Source organism: Homo sapiens, chromosome X (assembly GCF_000001405.40).
Source record: "Homo sapiens chromosome X, GRCh38.p14 Primary Assembly".
Classification (NCBI taxonomy): domain Eukaryota; kingdom Metazoa; phylum Chordata; class Mammalia; order Primates; family Hominidae; genus Homo; species Homo sapiens.
The window spans coordinates 82,794,480-82,814,595 of record NC_000023.11 but is presented as its reverse complement, the minus strand read 5'-3'; the positions used below and the strand labels follow the sequence as shown (position 1 = coordinate 82,814,595).

At 39.4% G+C, this 20,116-nt stretch overlaps 1 long non-coding RNA gene across 1 annotated transcript in view; it reads right to left on the bottom strand.

Annotated features, from left to right (window-relative positions):
* Nucleotides 1–14,202: 14,202 nt before the first annotated feature.
* The window catches only part of LOC105373288 (uncharacterized), a 42,537-nt gene continuing 36,623 nt past the window's right edge, over nucleotides 14,203–20,116 (bottom strand). Inside the window, exon 5 of the long non-coding RNA XR_938457.3 lies at nucleotides 14,203–15,357. This is a non-coding gene — a long non-coding RNA (uncharacterized LOC105373288). The remainder of the gene's footprint in view (nucleotides 15,358–20,116) is intronic.

Genomic DNA, 20,116 nt, shown 5'->3' with positions numbered 1-20,116 from the left:
AATCAGGACTCCATGCTCAATACACTGTTAACAAACCATGTGAGGACTCAGCAGAGAATGTTTTATGCTGGGATTTCCCAATGTATATTGCCCAAAACATTAGCTCTGCAGGTTGTTGTTAGTGGGAATTTCATGAAAATAGGATTTCAAAACCAAATATGTTTGAGGAATACTGAGTAAAAAAAAAAGTAAACATATATATTTACTAAAACACTCCTTAAAAGATTTAATGTACTCCATACCTTGCAAGTCATGTTGAGGATCGAAGAGTGGACTATAATGTGCAAGATTTCCAAACTTATTTGGCCACGGAAACCCTTTTTATAAGGAATATATTGAGATACTAGAGTTCCAAAGAAGGCAATTAGAAAAGCAAAGCATTAATTTCTGTTTCTCCCTTTTTCTCAAAACTAATTTTATTGGAAACTCTGAAAGTCTGCAAACCTTTATATTTGAAAGGAATAAATGTGTTATGGTGCAACTTTGGTTCCTATGAGAGGTTAATGAGGGAGGTGTTGTGGAGCAGGAGACTTCCCAACTACTGTGAGAATTACACTTAGAGCCTTTCATGCTGATTCACAAGATTAGCTCTGGTGTTTGGCTTTCACCTGTAATCTAAACAACTGAGGTCAATACAGTCTGTGTCCTAATGGAATATTTGCATAGAGAAAAATGTGTTCTTGTTTGCACTCAAACCAGAGTTAAGCTGTTTAGTGCTGTGTGGTGCTATAAGGCCACAGATTGCCTCAAGCTAGCTCCCTTGTGAGTCAACCTTGAAGAATTTGCTTTCCACATAAGAAAACAGATTTTAAACATGAGGAATAGACCTGTTAGTTCTAATTCTCTGCCAAATGAATCACCCTCTGAGTAATCACGAGATCAAATGAGAATACCTCCTAACTTTCCCCCAGGGACAAATAACCACAGAAAGGAGAGAGATGCTAAAATTGAGTTCCCCTGAAAACTGTCTGAATACATGCCCTTAACAACGATTTTTGACATATTCTGTAGGTGTTTTCTAGTCTTACATGTCAACTCAGTGATATCTAGACTTGCACTGAATCAATGGAATTGGCATAAGAGTTTTCTTGAGTCCAGGTATATAGATACATGAAATATGTAGGTATTTATCCTTTTATGCTTGGCAGAGTAAGAATGGCATTCCTAATTTTTTTAATTATATTTGAAGTTCTGGGATACATGTGCAGAACATGCAGGTTTATTACATAGGTATACACGTGCTGTGGTGGTTTGCTGCACCCATCAACCCATTATCTACATTAGGTATTTCTCCTAATGCTATCCCTCACCTAGCCACCCACCCCCCAAAAGGCCCTGGTGTGCGATGTTCCCCTACCTGTTTCCATGTGTTCTCATTATTCAACTCTCGCTTATAGGTGAAAACATGCAGTGTTTGGTTTTCTGTTCCTTTGTTAGCTTGCTGAGAATGATGGTTACCAGCTTCATCCATGTCCTGGCAAAGGACATAAACTCATCCTTTTTTATGGCTGCATACTATTCCATAGTGTATATGTGCCACATTTTCTTTATCCAGTCTATCATTGATGGACATTTGGGTTGGTTCCAAGTCTTTGCTATTGTGAATAGTGTTGCAATTAACAGACGTATGCATGTGTCTTCCTAGTAGAACGATTTGTAATCCTTTGGGTGTATCCTCGGTAATGGGATTGCTGGGTCAAATGATATTTCTGGTTCTAGAACCTTGAGGAATCACCACACTGTCTTCCACAATGGTTGAACTAATTTACACTCCCACCAATGATGTAAAAGCGTTCCTCTTTCTCCACATCCTCTCCAGCATCTGTGGTTTCCTGATTTTTTAATGATTGCCATTCTAACTGGCATGAAATGGTATCTCATTGTGGTTTTAATTTGCATTTCTCTAATGACCAGTGAAGAAGAGCTTTTTTTCATATGTTTGTTGGGTGCATGAATGTCTTCTTTTTAGAAGTGTCTGTTCATATCCTTTGCCCACTTTTTGGTGGGGTTGTTTTTTCTTGTAAATTTGTTTAAGTTCCTTGTAGATTCTGGATATTAGCCCTTTGTCAGTTGGATAGATTGCAAAAATTTTCTCCCATTCTGTAGGTTGCCTGTTCACTCTGATGATAGCTCCTTTTGTTGTGCAGAAGCTCTTTGGTTTAACTAGATCCCATTTGTCAATTTTGGCTTTTGTTGTCATTGCTTTTGTTGTTTAATCATGAAGTCTTTGCCCATGCCTATGTCCTGAATGGTATTGCCTAGGTTTTCTTCTAGGGTTTTTGTGGTTTTAGGTCTTATCTTTAAGTCTTTAATCCACCTTGAGTTAATTTTTGTATAAGGTGTAAGGAAGGGATTGAGTTTCAGTTTTCTGCATATGGCTAGCCAGTTTTCCCAACACCATTTATTAAATAGGGAATCCTTTCTGCATTGCTTTTTTTTTTTTTTTGCCAGGTTAGTCAAAGACCAGATGGTTGTAGATGTGTGATGTTATTTCTGAGGTCTCTGTTCTGTTCCATTGGTCTATATCTCTGTTTTGGTACCAGTACCATGCTGTTTTGGTTACTATAGTCTTGTAGTATAGTTTGAAGTCAGGTAGCATGATGACTCCAGTTTTCTTCTTTTTGCTTAGGATTGTCTTGGCTATGTGCGCTCTTTTCTGGTTCCATATAAAATTTAAAGAAGATTTTTCTAATTATGTGAAGAAAGTCAATAGTAGCTTGATATTAGACAGATCAATGAGACAGAAAATTAACAAAGATATTCAGGACTTGAACTCAGCTCTGGATCAAGTGGACCTAATAGATATCTACAGAACTCACCACCCCAAACCAACCGAATATACATACTTCTCAGCACCACATAACACTTATTCTAAAATTGACCACATAATTGGAAGTGAAACACTCCTCAGCAAATGAAAAAGACCGGAAATCATAACAAACAATGTCTCAGACCACAGTTCAACCAAATTGAAACTCAGGATTAACAAACTCAACTCAAAACCACACAACTAAAAGGTAACTGAACAACCTGCTCCTAAATGACTAGTAGGTAAATGAGGAAATCAAGGCAAAAATAAATAAGTCATTTGAAACCAGTGAGAACAAAGACACAATGTACCAGAATCTCTGGGACACAGCTAAAGCAGTGTTTGGAAGGAAACTTATAGCACTAAATGCCCACAGGAGAAAGCGGGAAAGATGTAAAATGGACACACTAACATCAAAATTAAAACAACTAGAGAAGCAAGAGCAAACAAATTTAAAAGCTACCAGAAGACAAGAAATAACTAAGATCAGAGCAGAAATTAGGGAAATAGAGATGCAAAAAAAAAAAACCCTTCAAAAAATCAAAGAATCCAGGAGCTGTTTTTTTGAAAAGATTAACAAAATAGACCACTAGCCAGACTAATAAAGAAGAAAAGAGAGAAGAATCAAATAGACACAATAAAAAATGATAAAGGGGAGATCACTTCTGATCCTATAGAAACATAAACTACCACCAGAGAATACTATAAACACCTCTACACAAATAAACTAGAAAATCTAGAAGAAATTGATAAATTCCTGGACACATACAGCCTCCGAAGACTAAACCAGGAAGAAGTTGAACCCCTGAATAGACCAATAACAAGTTTTGAAATTGGGGCAGTGATTACTAGCCTACCAACGAATAAAAGCCCAGGACCAGATGGATTCACAGCCAAATTCTACCACAGGTACAAAGAAGAGCTGGTACCATTCCTTCTGAAACTATTCTAAACAATAGAGATAGAGGGACTCCTCTCTAACTCATTTTGTGAGGCCAGCATCAACCTGATACCATACTGGCAGAGACACAACAACAAAAGAAAAATTCAGTCCAATATCCCTGATGAACATCGATGTGAAAATCCTCAATAAAATACAGGCAAACTGAATCCAGCAACACATAGAAAAGCTTATACCACAATCAAGTCGGCTTCATCCATGGGATGCGAGGCTGGTTCCATGTACACAAATCAATAAACGTAATCCATCACATAAACTGAACCAATGACAAAAACCACATGATTATCTCTACAGATGAAGAAAAGGCCTTCAATAAAATTCAACACCCCTTCATGCTAAAAACTCTCAATAAATGAGGTATTGATGGAATGTATCTCAAAATAATAAGAGGTATTTATGACAAACCCAAAGCCAATATCATACTGAATGGGCAAAAGCTGGAAGCATTCCCTTTGAAAACTGACACAAGACAAGGATGTCCTCTCTCCACTCCTATTCAACATAGATTGGAAGTTCTGGCCAGGGCAATCAAGCAAGAGAGAGAATAAAGGGTATTCAAATAGGAAGAGAGGAAGTCAAATTGTCTCTCTTTGCAGATGACATGATTGTATATTTAGAAAACCCCATCGTCTCAGCCCAAAAACTTCTTAAGTTGATAAGCAACATCAGCAAAGTCTCAGGAAACAAAATCAATGTGCAAAAATCATTAGCATTCCTATACACCAATAATAGACTAACAGCCAAATCATGAGTGAACTTCCATTTACAATTGCTACAAAGAGAATAAAATAACTAGGAATACAGCTTACAAGGGATGCGAAGGACTTCTTCAAGAAGAACTACAAACTTTGAGGAGAACTGCTCAAGGAAATAAGAGAGGACAGAAACAAATGGAAAAACATTCCATGTTCATGGATTGAAAGAATCAATATTGTGAAAATGGCCATACTTCCCAAAGTAATTGATACATTCATTCCTAATATTATTTTTTGCTATAGCGTTACAATCATGGGTGATAACCTAAGGCAAGGGGCATGGTTGTTTATTAATATATTCTGTTATAAGCAATGTGTTTTATTTAGCAATTAAGTGAGTTTACCTTTTTCATTACTTGTTAGTAAAATACACAAAGGCTCTTAAGCCTAGAAATTTCTCTTTTTTCTATAGGAAACAAATTAATTTTAAAAATATTAAAATCTGTAAAATTAAGACACTTATTTTGAGCTATTCTTATGCATACATTTTATACACATACATGCATATATATACACCTATATATTCTAGAAAATTATGTACCATTTAAAATATATGGATGTGGTTCTGATTGCTTTCTGGATATACACAATCAATAGCTTTTTTGCTGTAATGTTATCATATACCTTTGTCTCTTACAGAAACATACATAGGAAAACAAATGCCTTAGGAAAACAAGATCAGTCTTTGTGAGGGAGGTGGTGGCAGATTGTTCAGAACCTGATGAAAGACACAAAGAACAGACAATACTGCTTGGTGTACTTTCTGACTGCAGAGACTTTCAGGGAGTTTGAGACTGAAGTATTCTGTTTTGCAGAAAGCCAGGGTGTGTCTATTTCCACTCCAACTTTGCTCCATCCTAAAATGGAGAGAGACTGGCTAAATAATCTTGTTTTCTCTTCCTTGACACAGAAAGACTACATCCCCCTATCTTCCTTGCCATAGGGCCAAGACAATTTGACCAAGTTTTGGCTTACTAAATGTCCCAGGCAATCTTTAGGATGGATGGAGGATCAGACGAAAATAATTTAAATCTCTGAGACAAGGTTTAAAAGAGTGCTAATCAAAATAACCTGTTTACCTGACGTGAGAGAGAAACAAACTGCACTATTATTAAGTCACTGAGGGGCTTGGAGCCAAGATGGCCAAATAGGAACAGCTCCAGTCTACAGCTCCCAGCATGAGCGATGCAGAAGATGGGTGATTTCTGCATTTCCATCTGAGGTACCGGGTTCATCTCACTAGGGAGTGCCAGACAGGGGGTGCAGGACAGTGGGTGCAGTGCACCATGCACGAGCCGAAGCAGGGCAAGGCATTGCCTCACTCAGGAAGGGCAAGGGGTCAGGGAGTTCCCTTTCCTAGTCAAAGAAAAGGGTGACAGACAGCACTTGGAAAATCAGGTCACTCCCACCCCAATACTGCGCTTTTCTGATGGGCTTAAAAAATGGTGCACCAGGAGATTATATCCCTCACATGGCTCAGAGGGTCCTATGCCCACGGAGTCTCGCTGATTGCTAGCACAGCAGTCTGAGATCAAACTGCAAGGCTGCAGTGAGGCTGGGGGAGGGGTGCCCGCCATTGCCCAGGCTTGCTTAGGTAAACAAAGCAGCCAGGAAGCTCGAACTGGGTGGAGCCCACCACAGCTCAAGGAAGTCTGCCTGCCTCTGTAGACTCCACCTCTGGGGGCAGGACACAGACAAACAAAAAGACAGCAGTAACCTCTGCAGACTTAAATGTCCCTGTCTGACAGCTTTGAAGAGAGAAGTGGTTCTCCTAGCACACAGCTGGAGATCTGAGAACAAGCAGACTGCCTCCTCAAGTGGGTCGCTGACACCTGACCCCCAAGCAGCCTAACTGGGAGGCACCCCCCAGTAGGGGCAGACTGACACCTCACACGGCCGGGTACTCCTCTGAGACAAAACTTCCAGAGGAAGGATCAGACAGCAGCATTCGCGGTTCACGAAAATCCAATGTTCTGCAGCCACTGCTGCTGGTACCCATGCAAACAGGTTCTGGAGTGGACCTCTAGCAAACTCCAAAAGACATGCAGCTGAGGGTCCTGTCTGTTAGAAAGAAAACCAACAGAAAGGACATCCACACCAAAACCCCATCTGTATATCACCATCATCAAAGACCAAAAGTACATAAAACCACAAAGATGGGGAAAAAACAGAGTAGAAAAACTGGAAACTCTAAAAAGCAGAGCACCTCTCCTCCTCCAAAGGAACGCAGTTCCTCACCAGCAATGGAACAAAGCTGGATGGAGAATGACTTTGATGAGTTGAGAGAAGAAGGCTTCAGAAGATCAAACTACTCCGAGCTACAGGAGGAAATTCAAACCAAAGGCAAAGAAGATGAAAACTTTGAAAAAAATTTAGATGAATGTATAACTAGAATAACCAATACAGAGAATTGCTTAAAGGAACTGATGGAGCTGAAAGCCAAGACTCGAGAAATACATGAAGAATGCAGAAGCCTCAGGAGGCGATGCGATCAACTGGAAGAAAGGGTATCAGTGATGGAAGATGAAATGAATGAAATGAAGTGAGAAGGGAAGTTTAGAGAAAAAGGAATAAAAAGAAATGAACAAAGCCTCCAAGAAATATGGGACTATGTGAAAAGACCAAATCTACGTCTGATTGGTATACCTGAAAGTGAGGGGGAGAATGGAACCAAGTTGGAAAACACTCTGCAGGATATTTTCCAGGAGAATTTCCCCAATCTAGCAAGGCAGGCCAACATTCAGATTCAGGAAATACAGAGAACGCCACAAAGATACTCCTCGAGAAGAGCAACTCCAAGACACATAATTGTCAGATTCACCAAAGTTGAAATGAAGGAAAAAATGTTAAGGGCAGCCAGAGAGAAAGGTCACGTTACCCTCAAAGGGAAGCCCATCAGACTAACAGCGGATCTCTAGGCAGAAACTCTACAAGCCAGAAGAGAGTGGGGGCCAATATTCAACATTCTTCAAGAAAAGAATTTTCAACCCAGAATTTCATATCCAGCCAAACTAAGCTTCATAAGTGAAGGAGAAATAAAATACTTTACAGACAAGCAAATACTGTGAGATTTTGTCACCACCAGGCCTGCCCTAAAAGAGGTCCTGAAGGAAGCACTAAATATGGAAAGGAACAACCAGTAACAGCCAATGGAAAATCATGCCAAATTGTAAAGACCATCAAGGCTAGGAAGAAACTGCATCAACTTATGAGCAAAATAACCAGCTAACATCATAATGACAGGATCAAATTCACACATAACAATATTAACTTTAAATGTAAATGGACTAAATGCTCCAATTAAAAGACACAGACTGGCAAATTGGATAAAGAGTCAAGACCCATCAGTGTTTTGTATTCAGGAAACCCATCTCATGTGCAGAGACACACAGAGGCTCAAAATAAAAGGATGGAGGAAGATCTACCAAGCAAATGGAAAACAAAAAAAAAGGCAGGGGTTGCAATCCTAGTCTCTGATAAAACACACTTTAAACCAACAAAGATCAAAAGAGACAAAGAAGGCCATTATATAATGGTAATGGGATCAATTCAACAAGAAGAGCTAACTATCCTAAATATACATACACCCAATACAGGAGCATCCAGATTCATAAAGCAAGTCCTGAGTGACCTACAAAGAGACTTAGACTCCCACACAATAATAATGGGAGACTTTAACACCCCACTGTCAACATTAGACAGATCAATGAGACAGAAAGTCAACAAGGATATCCAGGAATTGAACTCAGCTCTGCACCAAGCGGACATAATAGACATCTACAGAAGCCTCCACCCCAAATCAGCAGAATATACATTTTTTCAGCACCACACCACACCTATTCCAAAATTGACCACATAGTTGGAAGTAAAGCTCTCCTCAGCAAATGTAAAAGATCAGAAATTACAACAAACTGTCTCTCAGACCATAGTGCAATCAAACTAGAACTCAGGATTAAGAAACTCACTCAAAACCGCTCAACTACATGGAAACTGAACAACCTGCTCTTGAATGACTACTGGGTACATAACGAAATGAAGGCAGAAATAAAGATGTTCTTTGAAACCAATGAGAACAAAGACAAAACGTACCAGAATCTCTGGGACACATTCAAAGCAGTGTGTAGAGGGAAATTTATAGCACTAAATGCCCACAAGAGAAAGCAGGAAAGATCCAAAATTGACACCCTAACATCACAATTAAAAGAACTAGAAAAGCAAGAGCAAACACATTCAAAAACTAGCAGAAGGCAAGAAATAACTAAAATCAGAGCAGAACTGAAGGAAATAGAGACACAAAAAACCCTTTGAAAAATTAATGAATCCAGGAGCTGGTTTTTTGAAAGGATCAACAAAATTGATAGACCACTAGCAAGACTAGTAAAGAAGAAAAGAGAGAAGAATCAAATAGATGCAATAAAAAATGATAAAGGGGATATCACCACCGATCCCACAGAAATACAAACTACCATCAGAAAATACTACAAACACCTCTATGCAAATAAACTAGAAAATCTAGAAGAAATGGATAAATTCCTCGACACATACACCCTCCCAAGACTAAACCAGGAAGAAGTTGACTCTCTGAATAGACCAATAACAGGCTCTGAAATTGTGGCAATAGTCAATAGCTTACCAACCAAAAAGAGTCCAGGACCAGATGGATTCACAGCCAAATTCTACCAGAGGTACAAGGAGGAACTGGTACCATTCCTTCTGAAACTATTCCAATCAATAGAAAAAGAGGGAATCCTCCCTAACTCATTTTATGAGGCCAGCATCATCCTGATACCACAGCCGGGCAGAGACACAACCAAAAAAGAGAATTTTAGACCAATATCCTTGATGAACATTGATGCAAAAATCCTCAATAAAATACTGGCAAACCGAATCCAGTAGCACATCAAAAAGCTTATCCACCATGATCAAGTGGGCTTCATCCCTGGGATGCAAGGCTGGTTCAATATACGCAAATCAATAAATGTAATCCAGCATATAAACAGAACCAAAGACAAAAACCACATGATTATCTCAATAGATGCAGAAAAGGCCTTTGACACAATTCAACAATGCTTCATGCTAAAAACTCTCAATAAATTAGGTATTGATGGGACGTATCTCAAAATAATAAGAGCTATCTAGGACAAACCCACAGCCAATATCATACTGAATGGGCAAAAACTGGAAGCATTCCCTTGAAAACCGGCACAAGAGAGGGATTCCCTCTCTCACCACTCCTATTCAACATAGTGTTGGAAGTTCTGGCCGGGGCAATTAGGCAAGAGAAGGAAATAAAGGGTATTCAATTAGGAAAAGAGGAAGTCAAATTATCCCTGTTTGCAGATGACATGATTGTATACCTAGAAAACCCCATTGTCTCAGCCCAAAATCTCCTTAAGCTGATAAGCAACTTCAGCAAAGTCTCAGGATACAAAATCAATGTACAAAAATCACAAGCATTCTTATACACTGATAATAGACAAACAGAGAGCCAAATCATGAGTGAACTCACATTCACAATTGCTTCAAAGAGAATAAAATACCTAGGAATCCAACTTACAAGGGACGTGAAGGACCTCTTCAAGGAGAACTACAAACTGCTGCTCAATGAAATAAAAGAGGATACAAACAAATGGAAGAACATTCCATGCTCATGGGTAGGAAGAATCAATATCATGAAAATGGCCATACTGCCCAAGGTAATTTATAGATTCAATGCCATCCCCATCAAGCTACCAATGACTTTCTTCATAGAATTGGAAAAAAACTACTTTAAAGTTCATATGGAACCAAAAAAGAGCCCGCATAGCCAAGTCAATCCTAAGCCAAAAGAACAAAGCTGGAGGCATCACACTACCTGACTTCAAACTATACTACAAGGCTACAGTAACCAAAACAGCATGGTACTGGTACCAAAACAGATATATAGATCAATGGAACAGAACAGAGCCCTCAGAAATAACGCTGCATGTCTACAAGTATCTGATCTTTGACTAACCTGAGAAAAACAAGCAATGGGGGAAGGATTCCCTATTTAATAAATGGTGCTGGGAAAACTGGCTAGCCATATGTAGAAAGCCGAAAGTGGATCCCTTCTTTATACCTTATACAAAAATTAATTCAAGGTGGATTAAAGACTTAAATGTTAGACCTAAAACCATAAAAACCCTAGAAGGAATCCTAGGCATTACCATTCAGGACATAGGCATGGGCAAGGACTTCATGTCTAAAACACAAAAAGCAATGGCAACAAAAGCCCAAATTGACAAATGGGATCTAATTAAGCTAAAGAGCTTCTGCACAGCAAAATAAACTACCATCAGAGTGAACAGGCAACCTACAAAATGGGAGAAAATTTTCACAACCTACCCATCTGACAAAGGGCTAATATCCAGAATCTACAATGAACTCCAACAAATTTACAAGAAAAAAAACAAGCAACCCCATCAAAAAGTAGGTGAAGGACATGAACAGACACTTCTCAAAAGAAGACATTTATGCAGCCAAAAAACAGATGAAAAAATGCTCACCATCACTGTCCATCAGAGAAGTGCAAATCAAAACCACAATGAGATACCATCTCACACCAGTTAGAATGGCGATCATGAAAAAGTCAGGAAACAACAGGTGCTGGAGAGGATGTGGAGAAATAGGAACACTTTTACACTGTTGGTGGGACTGTAAACTAGTTCAACCCTGTGGAAGTCAGTGTGGCGATTCCTCAGGGATCTAGAACTAGAAATACCAGCCATCCCATTACTGGGTATATACCCAAAGGACTATAAATCATGCTGCTATAAAGACACATGCACACATATGTTTATTGTGGCACTATTCACAATAGCAAAGACTTGGAACCAACCCAAATGTCCAACAATGATAGACTGGATTAAGAAAATGTGGCACATATACACCATGGAATACCATGCAGCCATAAAATGATGGTTCATGTCCTTTGTAGGGACATGGATGAAATTGGAAATCATCATTCTCAGTAAACTATCACAAGAACAAAAAACCAAACACTGAATGTTTTCACTCAGAGGTGGGAATTGAACAATGAGAACACATGGACACAGGAAGGGGAACTTCACACTCTGGGTACTGTTGTGGGGTTGGGGGAGGGGGGAGGGATAGCTGTAGGAGATATACCTAATGCTAAATGATGAGTTAATGGGTGCAGCACACCAGCATGGCACGTGTATACATATGTAACTAACCTGCACATTGTGCACATGTACCCTAAAACTTAAAAGTATAATAATAATAAAATAAAATAAAAAATAAAAAGTCACTGAGAGATTTGGGGGGTTGTTTTTTACAGCAGCTAGTATTTAACTAGGATATTACATTAATTAAAGAAGGACCCAATCAAAGTCTAAGGCTAAGATGACCACCTAAATCTGAGACCTTGTTGGGTGACTGACATTGCTTGCAGTTTTTCAGCCCTTTGTGCTCACATTGGATTTAAACCGAGGCTTAGATAGTATCATACATGTTAGCAGTAGACAAATTCAGAGCTTTTGGAATTTGTTTATCATCCCCTGTATCAATTACGTAGGGTTTTCCAGAGGAACAGAATGCAGAAGATGTCTATTCATATATCTATGTCTATGTCTATATCTATCTAGAGAGAAAGATAATTATTTTAAGGAATTTGATCATATGACTGTGGAGGCTGGCAAGAATAAAATTTATAGGGAAGTCCAGCAGACTAGAAACAGGCAGGAAAGGCCAGGCACAGTGAGTCATACCTGTAATTGCAGAATTTTGACAGGACAAGGTGGAAAGATAGCTTGAGTCCCAGGAGTTTGAGACCACCTTGGGCAACATAGTGAGACCCTTTCTCTATGCAAAAGTAAAAGAAAAATTAGCCAGACATGGTAGTTGCAGATACTCAGGAAGCAGAGGTAAGAGGATTGTTTGAGCCCAGGAGGTTGAGGCTGCAGTAAACCACGATCATGCCCAGCTTGAGCGACACAACAAGACCCTATCTCAAAAAAAAAATTTTTAAATTAAAATTAAAAAATTAAAAAACTCAGGCAGGAGTTGATACTACAGACTTGAAGGAGAATTTCTCCTCAGGGAAATTTAATTTTGCTCTTTCAGCTGAGTAGATAAAGCATACCCACATTTTTTAGGGTAATCTTTACTCAGAGTGAACTGATCATACATGCTAACCACATCTACAAAATATCCTTCAGAACAACAGTTAGATTCGTGTTTGGTTAAATAACAGAGGACTGTACCCTAGTCAAATTGACACATAAAATTAAGCACCACAGAGTATCCTATGTCAACTTGGCCTCCATATGTATCTCCTTAAAACATTGGTAAAATGGCCCTGCATTTTCATTTCCTCAGTCAACTGATCATAAGGAACTCTCCATGAAGCCGTAAGGATGAGCTGGGAGAGGGAAGATAATGTAGCAGGAAGGGAAACCATAGGTGTTTGAATAACTTCTTCATGTAACTTACTTATTCATTTAGAGTATAGTTGAGCCTGAATTGGTATATACGTCCTCTATTGGATAAGGACATATTGATGTGCATGCCCACATTTATGGCTTGATGCATTAAACCATATCCAGTTCTTGGTAAGCAGCTAAAATTGCATGGTAATTTGTTGACCTGTGGTTAAGCATTTACTCTCTACTAAGGCCCCAGTAATAAGCCAAAAGCTTCTTCTCAAAAGTAGAGTAGTTATCTACAAAGGATGGCAAGACTTCACACGAGGAATGGGGTATTGCTTTAACAGAGGTCTATGCTGTGATTCAGATATAGATGACTGCCAAAAATTCCAAACAGCATCTCTATCTGCCACTGAAACTTCAAGAACAATTGGATCTGCTGGGTCACATGGCCCAAGTGGTAGAGCAGTTTGCACAGCAGTCTGGACCTGCTGCAGAGCCTTCTCTTGTTTTGGGGCCCACCCAAAACAATCAGGCTTTTTGGGGTCACATGGTAAATGAACTGGAGTAACACACCCAAATAGTGAATATATTATCTCCAAAATTCAAACCGGTCCACTAGACATTGTGCCTCTTTTTGGTTTAGAATGGGCCAGATACAACAAAGTATCTGAAACTGTAGAAGTATCTTAAACTGTGCTTTTCACTGAGCTGGAAAGCACATGAATTTTTTGTTGGATTTATTTCTCACCCTCTGACTTGTAAATGCTTATCAATAAATCTGAAAGAGTTGATCCTTCTTGTTCACTAGGCCCAATCAGCATAATATTATCAGTGTAATCGATCAGCACTGTCTTCTGGAAGGGAAATGTGATCAAGGTCTCTGAGGACTAAGTTATGATATAGACCTGGAGAGTAGATATACCCTGAGGTAGAACAGTATATTAGCTTGATAGGGCTTCCATAACAAAACAACAGAAACTGGATGGCTTAAACCAAAAAATATGTACTTTCTCATAGTTCTGGATGCTAAATACCCAGGATCAAGGTGTCAGTGGGTTTGCTTTGCTCTAAGGCCTTTCTTCTTGGCTTGCAAATTGTTGCATTTTTGCTGTGTACTTACATGGCCTTTATTTCTGTGTGTGTGCATTCTTGATGTCTATTATTGTATCCAAATTTCCTCTTCTCATAAGGACACCAGTCAGATGGGATTAGAGCCAACTCCAATGACCTCATTTTACTTTCATAAACCCTATATCCAAATATAGTCACACTCTGAGGTACTGGGGGATCAGGGCTTCAACATATAAATTTTGGGAAAACACAATCCAGCCCATATCAGATAGTTTAGGTATATTGTAAACTACTTCTTGTGGTCTTTACTAACAGGTGATGAAAAAATCATTTACTAGATGTATTACTCAGGGTTCTTTGGACAAACAGAACCAATAGAATTTAGACCACTGAGTTACATGAGCATGGGCTTATTGTTGCACTTATTTTGTTGTATTATGAATTCTTTGATCAGAAGCCATGTTGTGTGGAATACCATAATGGTAGAGAAGGCATTTTATAAGTACACAAATGGCAGTTTTTGCAGAAACATTGCCTGAAAAAACACAAATCAATATCTAGAGTAAGTATCTATTCCAGTAAGAACAAAATGCTGTCTCTTCCATAACGGAAGCTGACTAGTGTAATCAACTTGCTGATCACTCCGTAGAATGGTGTGCTAAAGGAAACTCTATATTAGTCTTAGCTGATTTCATATTGGGCACTCAGCAGTTGCTGTAACCATAAAAGCCTTGGTGAGTGAAAGTCCATGTTGCTGAACCAATGAATAATTTCCATCCCTGCTACCATGGCCACTTTGTTCATTGAGCTCATTGTGTGATGACAGAGTTGGATGACAAAAGACATTAACTGGTATCCACAGAATGGGTTATCCTGTCCACTTGCTTATTAAAATCCTTTTCATCTAAGGTCAGCTTTTGATAAGCATTCACATGAAACACAAATATTATCATGTTTTTTGCCCATTCAGAGAAAAAATATCTATCCACATATCTTTTGCCCAGATTTATATGTCACCGATTTTTCAATCGTTTCTTCTAAAATTTTTGCCATCCAGCCAAACCATGGGCCACAGCCCGGCAATCAGTGTATATTTGCACATCTGACCATTTTTCCTTCCAATCATATGAAAAAACAGATGCACCACCAGTAGCTCTGCCCACCTGGAGGATGGGAGGATGCTCCCTCATTTTTCTTAGGAGATGTCCCAGAGAGAGGCTGCAGTGCTTCAACTGCCTGCTTTCATGTGGTTCCTGCATATTGTGCAGTACCATCTGTAAACCAGGTTCAAGTCTTCTCTTCCTCTGTCAACAGATTTTAGGGAGCTCTCCATGAAACCATAGATTCAGGCTGAAAGAGAGATGACAGTATAGCAGCAGTAGGGACGATGGGCATTTGGGACACTTCATCTAACTTACCTGTTTGCACCCACAAACATATAAATTCCATTTGATGATGAAATGTTGATATGCACACTGAAATTTATGGTTTAGTGGGTCAGATTATCCCCAGTTTATCATTGGCAGCTGAGGGCAGATGGTAATTTGGTGGACCGTGGTTACGTGTTCATTCTTTAAGTGAGGCCCAGCAAGAAGTCAAAAGCTGTTTCTTAAAAGGAGAGTAGTTATCCACTGGCAGAAACTGGCAGGGATTTGCTCCCAAATCCTAAGAGTTGTTTTCACTGTGATTCACCTACATGGGCCTACCAAAGGCTCCATACAGCATACCATCTGCCACTGACACTTCAGTCACCATTAAATCTGCTTGATAATATGACCCAAGTGACAAATCAGCTTGCACAACAGCAGAGCCTTCTCTTGTTCTGGGTCCCACACAAAACTAGTAGTTTCGTGGGTAACTCAGTAAATGGGCTTGAGTAATATACACAAACAGTAAATGTCTTGTCTCCAAAAGTCAAAGAGGTTCACTAGGCATTGTGCCCCTTTTTCGGTTACAGGAAGGTTGTACCACTATATCAGGGTCCATCGAAAGATGAATGATAAATAGTAGGGTCATCTATTAGGGTCATGAATTAGGGTCATGAATTTTAGGGTCATCAATAGATGAATGAGTAAAGAAAATGGAATTTTGACACACAATGAAAAAGTATTTATACAGAATGAAGTAGTATTCAGCTGTGAAAAAGGCAACCTTGTCATTTGTGACAACATGGGTGATCTGGAGGACATTATGTTAAGTGACATAAGGTACAGAAAGACACATACTGAATAATTTCACTCATATGTGGAATCTAAAAAAAGTTGATCTGATAAAGATAGAAAGTAGAATTGTAGTTACAAGGGAGTGGAGTGGTGGTGGGGAGTGATGGTCAAAGGACACACAATTTTAGTTAGATAAGAGGAATAAGTTCAAGAAACCTACTGTAAAACTTAGTGACTACAGTTAATATCTTTTATTCCTGAGCAATGCAAACAGAGAAGATGTAAAGTGTTCTCACCACAACAATGAAAACTATGTGAGGTAAGAATATGTTAAATAGCTAGATTAAGTCATTTGGCAATGTATATATACTTCAAAACATTATATTGTACATGGTAAGTATATACTTCAAAATATTATGTTGTACATGGTAAAGTGTTCTCACCACAAAAATAAGAACTATTTGAAGTAAGAATATGTTAATTAGCTATTAGCTATATTTAGTTATTCCACATGTATATACACTCCAAAACATTATGTTGTACATGGTAAATACATATGATTTTATCTGTCACTGCAAAAAAAAAAAAAAAAAAAAAAAAACAGAGAAAACAAATACCATTACATAAGGGATTAGATTTCAACATATAAATTTAGTGGTGGGGGTGCAAACATTCAGACCATACCAAGGAGCTGGATGTAACAACTTACCCTTCACCTTAGAGGAGATATTTTGATATATCTCAAACCACTGGAGTCCTAGAACTTTCAGTGATTTGGAAGGCCCCTGAACTTTCACTGTATTCATATCACCCACTGACATACTTACCAATAAGTCTAGAATAGTTGCTACTTCTTGTTCACTAGATTCAATCAGCATAATGTAATCAATGCAATAAAAGAGTGTGATATGTTGTGGATGGGAAAGGAGATCAATATCCCTGTGAACTAAATTATGACGTAGAACTGAAGAGTTGTTATACCCTTGAGATATGACAGTGAATGTGCTTTATTGGCCTTTCCAGCTAAAGCAAACTATTTCTGATTGGCCTTATGGACAGGGATTGAGAAAAAGCACTTGCTAGATCAATAGCTTTATACTGGGTACCAGGGAATTTTTAAATTTGCTCAAGCAGGGAAACCACATGTGATAGAGCAGCTATAATTAGAGTCAACAGTTGAATAAATTTATAATTCACTGTTTTTCTTCAAGATTCATTTTTCTTCTGCACAGGCCAAATAGGAGAGTTGAATGGGGATGAGACGGTGATTGCCAACTGCATCTTTAAAACACTTGATGATGGCACTAGTCTCTGCAATCTACCCAATGATGTGGTATTGCTTTTGAATTACTACTTTCTTAGGTAGAGGTAGTTTTAGTGGCTTCCACTTGGCCTTTCCTACCATAATGGCCTTGATGCTACAGGTCAGGGAACCAGTATGGGAATTATTTCAGCTGCTAAGTGTATATGTTCCAATTATGAATTCTGCAGCTGAGGAAATAACCACAGGATGGGTTTGGGGAACCACTAGGCCCACTGTGAGATAAACCTGTGCTAAAACATTGATCATCTTACCGCAATAAGCCCTGACTCTGACTGCTGGGCTACAGTGACATTTGGTGTATCTTGGAGTTAGTGTCAGTTCAGAGACAGTTTCCAGTAACTCTTGAAGTTTTCATTACCTCCTTTTTGCCAAAGCACATTTACCCTAGTAAAATGCCATAGATCCATTTGGGGAAGGCTGGGGAAAAAACTCAATGCTGTATGTTTTTGGTAGTGTACCAGAGTTCTTCCTTTAAGAGATCTGGCCTCTCTTTAATCGAGGGATACTAAGCCTATAAACTGGTTCAAGTCTAGGAATTGATTCAGGTGTTGCAACTCGCTATTTTTATTGTTTAAGTTAGAATTTTGTTAATTTGACCTAGAACTTTTCTGCTTATACAGATGAAGTAACAATTTAGTAGGGTTTCAATTTATTTCACTTCTAAGACTATCATAATCAACTAGCTAATGCTATAGGCCTATGTAAGTCAGACTATTCTAATTACTATTTTGACTCTGCTGTCCATGGCTGTAACCAAGTCCACCTTGTCTTTGGTGGTTGAGTGCCACCACTTGGTCACTGCCATTCCAGGATCTAATTAATCTCATCGAATTTAGGTTTCCCAATTTAGTGGCTGCAGTTCCCATTGGAAAGTATGGACTACAAAGGACAATCACAGAGCTGTTCACAGAACTCTTTAGGATGCTGAGGCTCCCCTCACAAATTTATTTCCCACAGTACTTGTAAAAGACATGTCTTCTGAACCTTCCCAATGTGTGAGAGTAAGTCTAAAGACAAATTCACACTAACACTCCAATCTCCCTAGGTCTTTGGATTTCTTCTTTTGTATTAAACCAAGGAAAGCTGTGGGCAATTGTACTAGTTTGTTTTCATGCTGCTGACAAAGACATACCCGAGACTGGGCAATTTACAAAAGAAAATTATGACTTATAGTTCTACATGGTTGGGGGGGCCTCACAATCATGGTGAAAGGCAAGGAGGAGCAAGACACGTGTTACATGAATGGTGGCAGACACAAAGAGCTTGTGTAGGGAGTCTCCCCTTTTATAAAATCATCAGATCTTGTGAGACTTATTCACTATCATGAGAACAGCACAGGAAAGAACTGCCCCCATGATTCAAATACTTCCCACTGGGTCCCTCCCACAATACATGGGAATTCAAAAAGAGATTTGGGTCGGGACACAGCCCAACCATATCATTCCACCCCTGTCCCCTCCCAAATCTCACATCCTCACATTTTAAAACCATCATGCCTTCCCAACAGTCCCCCAGAATCTTAACTCAGTTCAGCATTAACTCAAAACTCTACAATTCAAACTCTCATTCAAAACAAGGCAAGTCCCTTCTACCTGTGAGCCTGTAAAATCAAAAGCAAGTTGGTTACTTCCTAGATACAATGAGGGTACAGGAATTAGGTAAATACAGCCATTCCAAATGGGAGAAATTGGCCAAAGCAAAGGAGTTACACGCCCCAATCAGGTCTAAAATCCAGCAAGGCAGTCAAATCTTAAAGCTCCAAAATGATCTCCTTTGACTTCCTGTCTCACATCTAGATCACACTGATGCAAGAGGTGGATTACCATGGTCTTGGGCATCTCTACCTCTGTGGCTTTGCAGGATACAACTTCCTTCCTGGCTGCTTTCACAGGCTGCTGTTGAGTATCTGTGGCTTTTTCACACTGTGCAAGCTGTCAGTGGATCTAGCATTCTGGGGTCTGGAGGACAGTGGCCCTCTTTTCACAGCTCCACTAGGCAGTACCCCAGTAGAGACTCTGTTTGGGGTCTTCAGCTCTACATTTCCCTTCTGCACTGCCCTAGCAGAGGTTCTTCATGAGGGCCCTGCCCCTGCAGCAGATTCCTGCCTGGGCATTCAGCCATTTCCATACATCCTATGAAATCTAAGTGGAGGTTCCCAAACCTCAATTCTTTACTTCTGTGAACCCATGGGCTCAACACCACATGGAACCTGCCAAAGCATGTGGCTTCACCCTCTGAAGCAACAGCCTGAGATGTACCTTGGCCTCTTTTAGCCATGGCTGGAGTGGCTGGAACACAGGGTACCAACTCCCTAGGCTGCACAGAGCAGGGAGGTCATGGGCCTCACTCACAAAACCATCATTTCCTCCTAGCCCTCCAAGCCTGTGATGTGAGGGTCTGCCACAAAGGTCTCTGACATGCCCTGGAGACATTTTCCCCATTGTCTTCGTGACTAATATTCAGCTCCTCATTACTTATGCAAATTTCTGCAGCTGTCTTGAGTTTCTCTTGAGAAAATGGGATTTTCTTTTCTATCACATTTTCAGGCTACAAATTTTCCAATCTTTTATGCTCTGTTTCCCTGTTAAAACTGAATGCTTTAAACAGCACTCAAGTCACCTCT